This window comes from Homo sapiens, chromosome 3, assembly GCF_000001405.40.
Source record: "Homo sapiens chromosome 3, GRCh38.p14 Primary Assembly".
Lineage (NCBI taxonomy): Eukaryota > Metazoa > Chordata > Mammalia > Primates > Hominidae > Homo > Homo sapiens.
The window spans coordinates 63,125,063-63,142,447 of NC_000003.12; the positions used below are offsets into that span (position 1 = coordinate 63,125,063).

At 40.7% G+C, this 17,385-nt stretch overlaps 1 annotated feature.

Annotated features, from left to right (window-relative positions):
* Positions 10,885 to 11,490: an enhancer, noted in NCBI's record as "OCT4-NANOG-H3K27ac-H3K4me1 hESC enhancer chr3:63121623-63122228 (GRCh37/hg19 assembly coordinates)". NCBI's record gives its function as "activates a minimal SCP1, AML or CMV promoter by ChIP-STARR-seq in primed H9 embryonic stem cells {active_cell/tissue: H9 hESC(primed)}" and the evidence as "EXISTENCE:reporter gene assay evidence [ECO:0000049][PMID:30033119]".

Below are 17,385 nucleotides of genomic sequence, written 5' to 3' on the forward strand. Positions count from 1 at the left end.
CTCTGTCTCGATGTCTGCTTCAAGGAGAACCCAACCTGTGACAGTGATAACAGATAAAAACAAAGGACATCACTTTTCCCTGCCTTACTTTCCATTTACCACTAAAAAGGGTCTTGGACTTGCCCACTCAGTTTCTTCTCTTTCTTCACTCTTTGGAGATGGTCCCTCCACTACCACAGACACAAAAAAGAAGAGTTGGGAAGAGAGAGGGGTGAAAACATTTGGGGCACTGCAGGCCTAGTGCTAGGTGACTGAAGACTACCTGGAGGGTGCAGGAAGTGACTGTTTCTCCATCATGTATTGTATTGCTATAGTGACTTAAAAAACAAGTAGGTGATTTGTGTTTTTTTGGTTTTTTTTTGTTTTTTTGGTTTTTTTTTTGAGACAGAGTCTCGCTCTGTCACCCAGGCTGGAGTGCAGTGGCGCTATCTTGGCTCACTGCAAGCTCCACCTCCTGGGTTCACACCATTCTCCTGCCTCAGCCTCCCGAGTAGCTGGGACTACAGGCGCCCACCACCGCGCCCGGCTAATTTTTTGTATTTTTAGTAGAGACGGGGTTTCACCGTGTTAGCCAGGATGGTCTCGATCTCCTGACCTCGTGATCCGCCCGCCTCGGCCTCCCATGATTTGTTTTAAAATTACTTTTCAATTGCTGGACTGTGTTCTTGGACCATGACATTATTCTTAACTCAGGCTATATGGGCCATGGTTGCAACAGGATTACAATTATAACAACCTTCACATCACGTGTTATTATTCTCATTTTATAGGTAAAGAAACTGAGGCACAGAGAGGCTGCATTTTAGGATCCACTTTGCTTCTGTGTGACCTTGAAATATTTATTTAATTTTTTGGACCTTGTGACCAAAAGATGCCGAACAAGCAAGGAAATGAACTAAATGTTGAAGTGCCTTCCAATTTTAAGATTCCAAATTTTTTATAGAATTAATAATTTTAAAGTATTTTTCCACATTAATTTTGACATCATGATATGACATTAATAAGGTAATTGCAAAATTAGTTTTATTACCTTAAGGTATACCTAGATTGCATAGTTGGATTATCTTTAGTCCCCTGTGAAATATGTAATGATGTACTGTTTCCCCAATTTACATTTGGATAAGCCAAGGCTCAGAGAAATCAAGTTATTAGTGTGAAAATATTGCCACTTAATGTAAGATCCAGGTCACAGACTCAGATTTCCTCCCATCTCTTCTAGTGCTTTTCCTATACTACTACTCGATTCCTTTTGGCCTGAGGTTCTTGTATTGTTATCTATCAATCACTACATAATAAATTACCTTACAACCGAGTTGCTTACAATAACCAACATTTACAATTTCACACACCTTCTAGGGGGTCGAAGAGAGGCTTAACCTGAGTGGTTCCGACTCCAGGTCTCTCAAGGGGTTATAAGCAGATGTTGTCTGGGGCTGCAGCTGTGAAGGTTTGCCTAGAACTAAAGGATCCTCTTTCAAGATGGCATACTCTCTTGGTTGTTGACCGAAGGCCTTTATTTCTCACTGTCCAGAGGAATCTCCATAGGACTGCTCAAGTGTGCTCTCAACATGGCAATTGATCTCCCCAAAAATGAGCAATTCAAGAGGAAGAACGAGAAGAAAGCTGTAGTGCCCTTTATGACCTGGCTCAGAATCACACATCAGCACTTTCTCCATATTCTATTCATTAGCAATGATTTGCTAAGTCCAACACATATTCAAGAGGAGTAGAATAAAGCTCCAAATCTTGAAAGGAATAATATCAAAAAATTTCTGAACTGTGTTAAAATGACCACAGCTCTGCTCTTTGGGTGGCTAAAAATTTCCATATTAAGGGTGGGAAGTGCTTTTCTCCCCCAGGAAATTCAAGCCAGAAGAGTGAACCAGGCTAGAAAAACTTCACTGCCTAAGAAGTTTATGCAGGTGTCACATTAGATAGCAGTTTACAGGTCTCTTTATTTCTTGGTTTCTTAAAAAATTCAGACAATACCATAGAAATAATGCAATGGTAGGTGACACCTGCAGTTTTTGCCTTCTTGGGATCCATTCCTTTCTGCCAATTTTACCTTGGGGAACCTCCATTCACTTCTCTTAATCTATATGGAACTGATTATTTGAATCCACTTCATTCAGTTCCTAAGATGTACATGTGAGCCAGGCCTGACAAATGAGCATATTCCATTACCCTGGCCATAGTGGTTAATACTGGGACAGGCATAGAAACTACATGGGTTCAATTAAAGTTGTGTTGGAACTATTGGGAGCAGTTTTCTTTCTGTAGGGTTTCTTATGTTCCTTCTATCGTATTAGGAGGGTTTGCCTGATAATGAAGTCAGCACAGAGGAGAAATGGCACCAAGAAACGGGGAAAGGGAAAGAGACAGACAGAGAGAAAAAGACAGAGTGACAGAAAAAGAGTGGGTGTGTCTTGGTGGTATCATTAATCACACCTAGAAAATCTAACATGACTCAGGCCTGCTCTATTGCTGGAGTTTTTAAGCCATAAGCCAATAAAATTCCTAATTTGATTATTTTAGTGGCAATAAAAATTCAAATATACAATTACAAGTAATAATATCTCTCTCTTTTTATTATATATTAGGACATGTGCTAAGACCTTAATACCATCTTATTTATTTCTTAACATTTTGAGGGAGATACTATTATTCTTTTTTAAAGATGAGGTTCACTGAGGGTGAGACACTTGTCATCAATCATCCTTCTAAGGAATAGATAAGTTGGAATGAGAATCAAGTCTTGTGTGACTAGGAAGCCACTCTCATCACTGTGCCGCCTTGCCCATATTTATTGGGGAATTTTCAAAAACCTACTGATCCAATTATTTAGGTAAGAGTAGTGATTACTACCAATTACTCAGACCCTGGTCTTCTGCGAAACTTATATGCATTGTCGCACTCAATCCTCACGTTGACTTTAGGATGGAAATATTACCATGCTCATTTCACAGATGAGGAACCTGACGGTCAGAATAGTTTTGACCCAGATATATCTGACAAGAGTCCACAAATATTTGCTTGAATTCCAGTCATGATTCAACTAATAGAGTCTGTGGCTATTTTAGAAAGAACATTGGGATCCAGTTCAAAATGGGTTTTTAAAATATTTCCTATTAGGATAACCAACTTATCTCAGTTTTCCCAGGACCTTTCCAGTTTTAAAACTGAAAGGTAAGCTGTTCACCCCACCTCCCACAGGCAGTGGCAAATGGAAGGAGACTAGAACATTTGTCCGTTGTTGGCAGATATTTTAAAAAGGGAATTAGGGGCCAGAGACCGCTTCCCACCCAATCAAGAGAGAGAACAGACCTCCTTTTAGGATTTGGGAAAGGCAAGAAACCCAGAGAAGCCTGGCTTCCTTAATAGCTCATCTACAGGATACGCTTAAAAGGTTGAACCTGGGGGTGTTCCAGTGATGAAGATGCCCTGAACATCTGTTCCCAAATTTCCTGCGCCTAGAAGACATGCTTTAGTTAATCAGCACTTTCAGTCCCAGCAGGTGGTGGCCTTTGTCAATACATGAACCTTCTGAAGTGGGAACCTGTCTTTAGAGTAGCTGTAGGTGATAGACAGGATGCAGATCACAGAGCCAGAAGTCTTAGGTTTGCACCCAGCTCTGTCACTAACTCTTGTGTCACCTCTCGGCCTTGGTTCCTCTCATCCTTAAAATAGGTTGGGTAGTGAGCCCCTTAGAGTTTTGCAGTGTAAATTAATGAGTTAACATGCATTGATGCTTTGAATGCTGAAAGGTTTTTGAATACAATGGATTCTGGTAATGATCAATTTTAAAAAGTCTACCTCTTTGAAATCAATACCTCTATAGCTTAGGTTTTCATTTATGTTTTTTTAATTATGGACACTTCTGAAGGATTCCATCCATAGACTGCAAATTTACAAATAACTCTGTATGGCAGGAAAAATATTATCCCTCACAAATGTCCATGTCCTAATCCCTAAAACCTGTGATTATGTTACTTGGCAAAGGAGAATTAAAGTTGCGGATGGAATTAAAGTTGGTAATCAGCTGACGTTAACAAGGGTCCTTAAACGTGGAAGAGAGAGGTGGAAGAGTCGATGTCAGAGTGATGTGGCGTGAGAGATATGTGACTGACCATTGCTGGCTCTGATGGTGGAGGAAGGGGTCACGGCCAAGGAACGCAGGCAATCTCTAGAACTGGAAATGGCAAAGAAGTGGAATCTCCTCTACAGCCTACAGAAGAAACATAACTCTGGCGACACCTTAATTTTAGCTCACTGAAACCCATTGCAGACTTCTGAACTCCAGAAATGTAAGATAATAAATTTGAGTCATTTTTAGTCACCAACTTTGTAATGATTTGTGATAGCAGCAACAGAAAACTAATACACTCTCTAATCAAAATAATCCACAAGAAATATATGTAGGATTGTCATGGGAAGTGAAGCAATCACTCATCGGGAGATGGAGTATTTACTCATGCTTCTCTGAGGAGCCTGGGAATGAGCTGTTTAAGAACGGAAGGCATGATGCTTAATGGATGCATCTCCAGAATCTCTTATAGGCTATTGTGATCCATAGGAAGTCAGGAAGACCTCTTTGAAGGTAAAGGTTGATAAAATCTGGCTGGGCATGGTGGCTCATCCCTGTAATCCCAGCACTTTGGGAGGCCAAGGTGGGCAGATCACCTGAGGTCAGGAGTTCGAGACTAGCCAGGCCAACATGGTGAAACCCAGTCTCTACTAAAAATACAAAATTAGCCAGGCGTGGTGGCAAGTGTCTGTAGTCCCAGCTACTCAGGAGGCTGAGGCAGAAGAATCACTTGAACCCAGGAGGCGGAAGCTGCAGTGAGCCTAGATCATGCCACTGGACTCCAGCCTGGGTGACAGAGTAAGACTCCGTCTCAAAAATAAATAAATAAGGCCTGGCGAGATGGCTCACGCCTGTAATCCCAGCACTTTGGGAGGCCAAGGCGGGCGGATCACGAGGTCAAGAGATTGAGACCATCCTGGCTAACATGGTGAAACTCTGTCTCTATTAAAAATACAAAAAATTAACTGGGCGTGGTGGCACAGGCCTGTAGTCCCAGTTACTCAGGAGGCTGAGGCAGGAGAATCGCTTGAACCCAGGAGGCGGAGGTTGCAGTGAGCCAAGATCGTGCCACTGCACTACAGCCTGGGTGACAGAGTGAGACTCTGCCTCAAAATAATAATAAATAAATAAACAAAGTTGGTAAAATCTTCACCCATTTCACTTCTAACGTATACTTCCAAAGCCATCTAAACCACTCTTGGCTCCCCTGTCTAGGTTAACTGCGATCAATGTTTGAGAATAAATGACAAAGGCAGCTGGTGTTTCTTGTGAGGTAGTTTGAAATGTGGCATTTTTCCCATTTTCTCTAAAGGAGAGGAAGTGTAGCAAAATAGCAAAAGGGGTGCAATTTGAAATTCAACTGACCAGGATGAAATTGTGCCCCCAACACTTACAAGCTGTGTGACCTTGTGCAAGTTACATAGCATCCCCAATAATGTTTTCCCACTGATAAATTTGGGCTGCTTAGAAAACCTCCCTGAAGATGGAGGGAAATTAAACAAAATAATGAAAGTAAAGGGTTTTTCATGATGCCTGCCTCATGGTAAATTCTCCAGAAATATTAACTATTTTGCTATTGCCCACTTCTAATCTGAAGGATTAGAAAAGGAAATTAAGAAGGAAACAATGAAAGCAACCCAGCATGCTAAATGTCCTGTGAGAGAATGGGCACAGCAGGATAGTAAGAGGCTGACAGTGAAACCCAGAAAATGAAGGGGAGTAGGCAAATACCGACTTCGGTGCTGGCAAATCTTTGCAACGTGGCTGACTCAATCCTTATGAAAGGGTTGCTCCCTCTGCCATTCTTTCCAGGCATATCAAAACCTGTGTTTAAAAAAGGCCAACTATGTGTTTGTGTGTAGTAAGTAATTATTAAAATTCATTTGCAGCCCCGGGTGCTAGTGTTTTACTAATGTCTTCATGCTGCTAAGAGGATTCAAGGGTTCTATCAGGGTGTGCGTAATTTAGTGGGCAGGGCAGGGGCTTTGGAGTCACACAGACCTCAGTTCATATCTTCACTCTGCTACTTTCCAACTGCCCATCCTCCTGTCCATGAAAGGGAAGTAATGTTACCCACCTTCCAGAGATCTTTTCAGGATTAAATGTGATACACAGGTGAGGGGCTTGCACATTACCAGGAGTACTTGGCATAGCAGTAGTTATGTATTACTGGTATGAATTATTTGGGATAAAAAGGCTTGATTCTAGTACCGGCTGTATTACTTAATATGACCTGGGGGAAATCCTAAACCAATTCTGAGGTTGTTCCTCCTCCTGTACAAATAGGATAAATGAAAAGTACTACTTTATGAGGCTGTTGTGTGTCAGATTAGGCAATGCTTGGATGTAAAAGTCTTATGTTTTGAGTAAATTGGAATATAAATTTTCCTACTTGTACCAAAAGGCCCTGTTGTCCCCATTTCTCTCTCCTAGTACCCTGCCTCACTGGCTGGCACATTCACCACTGACTTGTGTTAAGGTGGTGAAATTCTAGCACTTAAAGTCTCCTGGATAATGCTTCATGTGGTTGAGCTCCATAGACACAGGTGAGGAAGTGACAGAAGTGCAGGGAGAGGGTAAAGTGAACAATTGATGTCCTCTTCTGTAACAGGCAGGAGTAAATTTCTGGATTCTAGCAGTAGAGCAGGGGCTACATCAGCACAAGTAACATAAAGGCCTGGATACACAAGGAACTACCAGGAATAACTGCCTATGTGTCTGGTACTACATCATTTACTTTCCCCAAATATAACCCCACTTAATCTTCCCAACTAGAAATCATTTTCCTCATTTTCTAGCAGAGAAAACTGAGGCCCAGAGAGGTTAAGTAGACTATCTACAATCACACAGAGAGCAAAGAGTAGACCTAGGACGTGTTCTGGCTCCAAAGTTGATGCTCTTTCCACTCATCTATATTATATTCCTGAAATTCCAGTTTGATTATATCATGACTCTTCTGAGACCCAGGTTAACTCAGACACTAATAGGATTAAATTCTATAAATAACATGCTTAAACCATTAAACTAGATAAGTTTAGGGAACATATTAAAACTTTTGATGTACTGTAAGCCTTGTAATAATCTTAGAATTTCCCACTTGCCAGGTTTCATTGGTTGTAGTGTGCAACCATTGACATTTTCCACATAGCATTTTCTAAGGTATATCCCATAAAATACTATAATTATTAATGACAACAAAAACTACAACTGCCACAATTAAACTACAATTAAACTCCACAATCCAAATTTACAGAGGGTTTATCATAAGCTAGGCACTGGTTAAATGATTTAAATGGACTATCTCATTAAATACTTAAAATGCTCTTTTGAAGTAGATGCTTTTATCTTCATTTTATAAAAGAAAAAAACAAGTCTTGGAGTAATTATTCATCTGAGAAAAGTAAGTTACATTCTCAAATATGTTTTGGACCAATTTAATTAAACCAAGTTGAGACTTGGATGTCAGCATGATAGAATAGTTGGTCTCTTGCTCACATCTCCCACACAGACAACAATCTGGCAGCCATTCACAAGCAAGAGTGCCTTTGTGGGAGCTTTTGGATCTAGGGTAAAGGTTGTGAAACCCTGATGAAGCCCCAAACTGAGAAGAGCTGATTTGAGAATGGGGACACGTAACCCTGGTATCAGGCTTGCCAAACATGGTCCTAACAACAGACTGAAAGCAGTCCCATCCCCTCCATTTGATTGTAGTCCTAAAACCAGTCCCATCTACCAAAGGGCTCTGGAAAAACCATGCCTGTCCATTACCTGTTACAGGGCCACTCGTGGCAGACGTAACCACAGATACTGAAGTCGCCCTGTGAGCAGCTCTAGCCTTGCTCTTTGTCCTGCCCACCCAGGGACCTAGAGAAACGCATCTCTGCCTCTAGTAACAGACTGACTGACTTCAGTTCCAACTGTGAATGCTGAATGCAGCCTTAGCTGTGAACCCTGAAGTGGCCCAAAGACTTGGTTCCAGCCTTGCTCTACCCAGGTCCCAGGGTCAGTCCTGTCCACACGGGGATTCAGGAGAAACCATGCCCATTTATGACTCCAGTAACAGGCCTACCAACTCAGACCTGGCAACAGCCCCATGCCCTGGCTCCAGCCCCACTTAAATGTGATCCCAGAAGCAGTTCCACTCGTCTGGGGACCTGGCATAAGAACATTTTTACCTATTAAAACCATCTGTAAAGATAAGAAGAGATGTTTGCTCCTTGAGATGCATAGACATCAACATAAGGCCACACAGATCATGAAGAATCAGGCAAACATGAAAACACAGAAGGAAACTAATAATGCTTCAGTAACTGACACCAAAGAAATGGAGATCTACAAACTGACTGAAAATAATTCAAAATAATTGTTTTAAATGTGTTCAGCTAGCTGTATTACTTAATACGACCTGGGGGAAATCCTAAACCAATTCTGAGGTTGTTCCTCCTTCTGTACAAATAGGATAATGAAAAGCGGTACAAGAGAGCACAGATAAGACTCCACCAAAAAACTGTTGTAACTAATAAGTTAATTCAGTAAAGTTGCAGGATATAAAATCAATATTAAAAAATCAGCTGTTTCTTTATACTAACAATTCACTATTGAAAAAAATTAAAAACAACCCCACTTACAATACTATCAAAAACAAAATACTTAGGAATAAATTTAAGGAGGTAAAAGATCTGTATACTGAATACTGTAAAACACTGATGAGAGAAATTGAACAAGACAAAAATAAATGGAGTGATATCCCATATTCGTGGTTTCGAATAATTAATATAATCAAAATGTCCACACTACAGAGAGCAAGCTACAGGTTTAAGGCAATCTCTATCAGAATTACAATGGCATTTTTTCACAAAAATAGATAAAATAATTCAGACACAGAAAGAAAAATACTGCATAATCTCACTTATATGCAGAATTTTAAAAAGCTAACATCAAAGGAGCAGAGAGTGGAAGAGTGGTTACCAGGGTCTGGGGGAAAAGGGGACATGGGGAGATGCTGATCAAAGGGTATAAACATTCAATTATAAGATGAATAAATTCTAGAAATCTAATGCTTAGCATGGGTACTGTCATTGATAATAATACATTGTATATTTGAAATTTGCTAAGAGAGATCTTAAGTATTACCACACACACACACACACACACACACACACACACAAATGGTAACTATGTGAGGTGATGAATATGTTAATTATTTAATGGCTTCATTATGGTAATCTCTTCACAATGTATATGTATAACAAAAAATCACATCATATACCTATAGTATATAAAATTTTCATTTGTTAATCATAACTCAGTAAAGCTAGGATAAAAAATAAGTTGAGCTGGTTGCAGTACTTTTCAGAGCCTTCAATATGATAGTGGACTCTGTGAATCTCCAAAAAGGGGACACTTATTCAGTGATTGCCAAATGTATCTGACATGGGATGCTTTCTCTACTGGCCATGTCTTTGGGAAATTCTGCCCTTCTCTGCATGCTAACTTGTCTGTTCTCTCTGATGAAGCAGAGCTCTTGTATTCTGCTTATGTATTGCCTGCCTGATCATCTTTTAACAGGCCATGAAGTTTTTTCTCTTTCCCCAAACTTCATGTTTGTCGTCTCTAAGAGGGATAGAAGGAAGTGTGAATTGCTTTTTATAGAGAATTGAGTCACTGATAGTTTGTACTTAACATACGAGGCAGTGGTTGTCTGTTTTCTTAGGAGACATACAGCTTAGGTCTGAAAAAGGAGATCAGTTATGCTCTCCCTCTTTCAAACCACAGAAGAAAGAATAGGAAAAATGAATTTGCAAAGGTTGTGAATGTGAATGATGGTCTGGGAATATTTAATCCTTAAGGAAAATTGTGGGCAGGTATGATTTTTAAAAATTCATTCTCAATTAACTTTAGATGGTACTTATCAAACATTTCTTATACCCAGCATTATGCTAAAGATAGTGTGGAAAATAATAAGGGGTGTTTTTGTTCCCTGCCCTCAAAGACCTTATGATTGTAAGGGTACATGCAAAAAGTAATGAGGGGAATACGATAATTTAAATCTTCCTATTTTTAGTTTAGATATATTTATAATAAATGTAAAAATTAAGAATTACCTGCTTGGAAATCAATTGCCTTTGCCACTTAAAGTCTATTTTCTGAACTTCTAGCCTTAAGGTAATTATGTAAAATCAACCTCCTCCTTTTGAAAATCACTCCCAGAACATCATGGAATACAGCAATACAAATTCCATCTCATATCAAATCATCTTCCATTAAATTAAATATATAACTCCTAAAGTATAATGTATGAAGACAGAAGGCAGATGTAGGAATGGTAAATGACTAAGCAGAGTACAGTAGTCATTTACTCAGGTGTCAGATTGCCCTGAAGAGCCTCATAAAGGCTCAGGAATTAAAGGAATCTGATTTTTCAGATGGTGGTAGTCAAGTGGTGGCTAAAAATAGGGAGGTATTTTGAAAGTCAGTGGGAGGAGCAATTGTGCCTGTAGTTCTCTAGACTCCTGCCTTCATGACCCCCTCACAAGATGGAAAGAATGGCCCCTGATAGAATTAAACCACAGAGGCTTTAGACTTGGAATCCCAGGGACAAAAGAGGGTAGAGGGGAGGTGTAAATGGAAAATAGAGAGCTAAGTGAAAGCCTGCCTTTTACAATAAGCTTCACAGCCCCATACCTCTGTCTAATTCAAAGCTATTACAAGCAGTCTTATACCCTTAGCCCCACACATAAAACTGAGGATTCCTTATCTGGAGAAACTGAATGACCCCCTAGAAGGATTTGCTTGGGGGAATCCCAAATGAAATATTCAGCTGGCCATGAAATCTAAAATTAGCCCACCAGATGATAAGTTTCAACCATGCACACAACATTTCTCTTCACTTTTTTTAGCACTTAACTAAAAAAGAAGGAAAAAGAAAGTCAAGGATCACCACATATTCAAGAGAAGCTGTTAATTTATGAAAGAGAGGGAAAGATAAACTAACAAATATTAGAATAAACAAAGACAATGCAAACAAATAGGACTTAAAAGAAACTTTAAAAAAATCTTCAAATAGATAAGACAGTGCATCTATGAAACAAGAAGAAATACCTATAAAAAAGAGAACATTTCGGAGGAGGAGCCAAGATGGCCGAATAGGAACAGCTCCGGTCTACAGCTCCCAGTGTGAGCGACGCAGAAGACGGGTGATTTCTGCATTTGCATCTGAGGTACCGGGTTCATCTCACTAGGGAGTGCCAGACAGTGGGCGCAGGCCAGTGTGTGCGCGCAATGTGCGCGAGCCGAAGCAGGGCGAGGCATTGCCTCACCTGGGAAGTGCAAGGGGTCAGGGAGTTCCCTTTCCGAGGCAAAGAAAGGGGTGACGGAGGCACCTGGAAAATCGGGTCACTCCCACCCGAATATTGCGCTTTTCAGACCGGCTTAAAAAACGGCGCACCACGAGACTATATCCCACACCTGGCTTGGAGGGTCCTACGCCCACGGAATCTCGCTGATTGCTAGCACAGCAGTCTGAGATCAAACTGCAAGGCGGCAGCGAGGCTGGGGGAGGGGCGCCCGCCATTGCCCAGGCTTGCTTAGGTAAACAAAGCAGCCGGGAAGCTCGAACTGGGTGGAGCCCACCACAGCTCAAGGAGGCCTGCCTGCCTCTGTAGGCTCCACCTCTGGGGGCAGGGCACAGACAAACAAAAAGACAGCAGTAACCTCTGCAGACTTAAGTGTCCCTGTCTGACAGCTTTGAAGAGAGCAGTGGTTCTCCCAGCACGCAGCTGGAGATCTGAGAACGGGCAGACTGCCTCCTCAAGTGGGTCCCTGACCCCTGACCCCCGAGCAGCCTAACTGGGAGGCACCCCCCAGCAGGGGCACACTGACACCTCACACGGCAGGGTATTCCAACAGACCTGCAGCTGAGGGTCCTGTCTGTTAGAAGGAAAACTAACAAACAGAAAGGACATCCACACCGAAAACCCATCTGTACATCACCATCATCAAAGACCAAAAGCAGATAAAACCACAAAGATGGGGAAAAAACAGAACAGAAAAACTGGAAACTCTAAAACGCAGAGCGCCTCTCCTCCTCCAAAGGAACGCAGTTCCTCACCAGCAACGGAACAAAGCTGGATGGAGAATGACTTTGACGAGCTGAGAGAAGAAGGTTTCAGACGATCAAATTACTCTGAGCTACGGGAGGACATTCAAACCAAAGGCAAAGAAGTTGAAAACTTTGAAAAAAATTTAGAAGAATGTATAACTAGAATAACCAATACAGAGAAGTGCTTAAAGGAGCTGATGGAGCTGAAAACCAAGGCTCGAGAACTACGTGAAGAATGCAGAAGCCTCAGGAGCCGATGCGATCAACTGGAAGAAAGGGTATCAGCAATGGAAGATGAAATGAATGAAATGAAGCGAGAAGGGAAGTTTAGAGAAAAAAGAATAAAAAGAAATGAGCAAAGCCTCCAAGAAATATGGGACTATGTGAAAAGACCAAATCTACGTCTGATTGGTGTACCTGAAAGTGATGAGGAGAATGGAACCAAGTTGGAAAACACTCTGCAGGATATTATCCAGGAGAACTTCCCCAATCTAGCAAGGCAGGCCAACGTTCAGATTCAGGAAATACAGAGAATGCCACAAAGATACTCCTCGAGAAGAGCAACTCCAAGACACATAATTGTCAGATTCACCAAAGTTGAAATGAAGGAACAAGTGTTAAGGGCAGCCAGAGAGAAAGGTCGGGTTACCCTCAAAGGGAAGCCCATCAGACTAACAGCGGATCTCTCAGCAGAAACCCTACAAGCCAGAAGAGAGTGGGGGCCAATATTCAACATTCTTTAAGAAAAGAATTTTCAACCCAGAATTTCATATCCAGCCAAACTAAGCTTCATAAGTGAAGGAGAAATAAAATCCTTTACAGACAAGCAAATGCTGAGAGATTTTGTCACCACCAGGCCTGCCCTAAAAGAGCTCCTGAAGGAAGCGCTAAACATGGAAAGGAACAACCGGTACCAGCCGCTGCAAAATCATGCCAAAATGTAAAGACCATGGAGACTAGGAAGAAACTGCATCAACTAACGAGCAAAATCACCAGCTAACATCATAATGACAGGATCAAATTCACACATAACAATATTAACTTTAAATGTAAATGGACTAAATTCTGCAATTAAAAGACACAGACTGGCAAGTTGGATAAAGAGTCAAGACCCATCAGTGTGCTGTATTCAGGAAACCCATCTCACGTGCAGAGACACACACAGGCTCAAAATAAAAGGATGGAGGAAGATCTACCAAGCCAATGGAAAACAAAAAAAAGGCAGGGGTTGCAATCCTAGTCTCTGATAAAACAGACTTTAAACCAACAAAGATCAAAAGAGACAAAGAAGGCCATTACATAATGGTAAAGGGATCAATTCGACAAGAGGAGCTAACTATCCTAAATATATATGCACCCAATACAGGAGCACCCAGATTCATACAGCAAGTCCTGAGTGACCTACAAAGAGACTTAGACTCCCACACATTAATAATGGGAGACTTTAACACCCCACTGTCAACATTAGACAGATCAACGAGACAGAAAGTCAACAAGGATACCCAGGAATTGAACTCAGCTCTGCACCAAGTGGACCTAATAGACACCTACAGAACTCTCCACCCCAAATCAACAGAATATACATTTTTTTCAGCACCACACCACACCTATTCCAAAATTGACCACATAGTTGGAAGTAAAGCTCTCCTCAGCAAATGTAAAAGAACAGAAATTATAACAAACTATCTCTCAGACCACAGTGCAATCAAACTAGAACTCAGGATTAAGAATCTCACTCAAAGCCGCTCAACTACATGGAAACTGAACAACCTGCTCCTGAATGACTACTGGGTACATAACGAAATGAAGGCAGAAATAAAGATGTTCTTTGAAACCAACGAGAACAAAGACACAACATACCAGAATCTCTGGGACGCATTCAAAGCAGTGTGTAGAGGGAAATTTATAGCACTAAATGCCTACAAGAGAAAGCAGGAAAGATCCAAAATTGACACCCTAACATCACAATTAAAAGAACTAGAAAAGCAAGAGCAAACACATTCAAAAGCTAGCAGAAGGCAAGAAATAACTAAAATCAGAGCAGAACTGAAGGAAATAGAGACACAAAAAACCCTTCAAAAAATGAATGAATCCAGGAGCTGGTTTTTTGAAAGGATCAACAAAATTGATAGACCGCTAGCAAGACTAATAAAGAAAAAAAGAGAGAAGAATCAAATAGACACGATAAAAAATGATAAAGGCGATATCACCACCGATCCCACAGACATACAAACTACCATCAGATAATACTATAAACACCTCTACGCAAATAAACTAGAAAATCTAGAAGAAATGGATATATTCCTCGACACATACACTCTCCCAAGACTAAACCAGGAAGAAGTTGAATCTCTGAATAGACCAATAACAGGCTCTGAAATTGTGGCAATAATCAATAGTTTACCAACCAAAAAGAGTCCAGGACCAGATGGATTCACAGCCGAATTCTACCAGAGGTACAAGGAGGAACTGGTACCATTCCTTCTGAAACTATTCCAATCAATAGAAAAAGAGGGAATCCTCCCTAACTCATTTTATGAGGCCAGCATCATTCTGATACCAAAGCCGGGCAGAGACACAACCAAAAAAGAGAATTGTAGACCAATATCCTTGATGAACATTGATGCAAAAATCCTCAATAAAATACTGGCAAACCGAATCCAGCAGCACATCAAAAAGCTTATCCACCATGATCAAGTGGCCTTCATCCCTGGGATGCAAGGCTGGTTCAATATACGCAAATCAATAAATGTAATCCAGCATATAAACACAGCCAAAGACAAAAACCACATGATTATCTCAATAGATGCAGAAAAAGCCTTTGACAAAATTCAACAACCCTTCATGCTAAAAACTCTCAATAAATTAGGTATTGATGGGACATATTTCAAAATAATAAGAGCTATCTATGACAAACCCACAGCCAATATCATACTGAATGGGCAAAAACTGGAAGCATTCCCTTTGAAAACTGGCACAAGACAGGGATGCCCTCTCTCACCACTCCTATTCAACATAGTGTTGGAAGTTCTGGCCAGGGCAATCAGGCAGGAGAAGGAAATAAAGGGTATTCAATTAGGAAAAGAGGAAGTCAAATTGTCCCTGTTTGCAGACGACATGATTGTTTATCTAGAAAACCCCATCATCTCAGCCCAAAATCTCCTTAAGCTGATAAGCAACTTCAGCAAAGTCTCAGGATACAAAATCAATGTACAAAAATCACAAGCATTCTTATACACCAACAACAGACAAACAGAGAGCCAAATCATGAATGAACTCCCATTAACAATTGCTTCAAAGAGAATAAAATACCTAGGAATCCAACTTACAAGGGATGTGAAGGACCTCTTCAAGGAGAACTACAAACCACTGCTCAAGGAAATAAAAGAGGACACAAACAAATGGAAGAACATTCCATGCTCATGGGTAGGAAGAATCAATATCGTGAAAATGGCCATACTGCCCAAGGTAATTTACAGATTCAATGCCATCCCCATCAAGCTACCAATGACTTTCTTCACAGAATTGGAAAAAACTACTTTAAAGTTCATATGGAACCAAAAAAGAGCCCGCATCGCCAAGTCAATCCTAAGCCAAAGGAACAAAGCTGGAGGCATCACACTACCTGACTTCAAACTATACTACAAGGCTACAGTAACCAAAACAGCATGGTACTGGTACCAAAACAGAGATATAGATCAATGGAACAGAACAGAGCCCTCAGAAATAACGCTGCATACCTACAACTATCTGATCTTTGACAAACCTGAGAAAAACAAGCAATGGGGAAAGGATTCCCTATTTAATAAATGGTGCTGGGAAAACTGGCTAGCCATATGTAGAAAGCTGAAACTGGATCCCTTCCTTACACCTTATACAAAAATCAATTCAAGATGGATTAAAGATTTAAACGGTAGACCTAAAACCATAAAAACCCTAGAAGAAAACCTAGGCATTACCATTCAGGACATAGGCGTGGGCAAGGACTTCATGTCCAAAACACCAAAAGCAATGGCAACAAAAGCCAAAATTGACAAATGGGATCTAATTAAACTAAAGAGCTTCTGCACAGCAAAAGAAACTACCATCAGAGTGAACAGGCAACCTACAACATGGGAGAAAATTTTCGCAACCTACTCATCTGACAAAGGGCTAATATCCAGAATCTACAATGAACTCAAACAAATTTACAAGAAAAAAACAAACAACCCCATCAAAAAGTGGGCGAAGGACATGAACAGACACTTCTCAAAAGAAGACATTTATGCAGCCAAAAAACACATGAAAAAATGCTCATCATCACTGGCCATCAGAGAAATGCAAATCAAAACCACTATGAGATATCATCTCACACCAGTTAGAATGGCGATCATTAAAAAGTCAGGAAACAACAGGTGCTGGAGAGGATGTGGAGAAATAGGAACACTTTTACACTGTTGGTGGGACTGTAAACTAGTTCAACCATTGTGGAAGTCAGTGTGGCGATTCCTCAGGGATCTAGAACTAGAAATACCATTTGACCCAGCCATCCCATTACTGGGTATATACCCAAAGGACTATAAATCATGCTGCTATAAAGACACATGCACACGTATGTTTATTGCGGCACTATTCACAATAGCAAAGACTTGGAACCAACCCAAATGTCCAACAATGATAGACTGGATTAAGAAAATGTGGCACATATACACCATGGAATACTATGCAGCCATAAAAAATGATGAGTTCATGTCCTTTGTAGGGACATGGATGAAAGTGGAAACCATCATTCTCAGTAAACTATCGCAAGAACAAAAAACCAAACACCGCATATTCTCACTCATAGGTGGGAACTGAACAATGAGATCACATGGACACAGGAAGGGGAATATCACACTCTGGGGACTGTGGTGGGGTGGGGGGAGGGGGGAGGGATAGCATTGGGAGATATACCTAATGCTAGATGACGAGTTAGTGGGTGCAGCGCACCAGCATGGCACATGTATACATATGTAACTAACCTGCACAATGTGCACATGTACCCTAAAACTTAAAGTATAATTAAAAAAAAAAAAAAAAGAACATTTCTTCAGAAATAAAATCTATGATGGGGAAAAAAATAGTTAAAGGGTTACAATATAGAGACAGGAAATCTCTCCCTCCAAAACCAATAACAATTGCAACAAACAATAAAAGTGGACATCTGGGGGTAAACAATAAG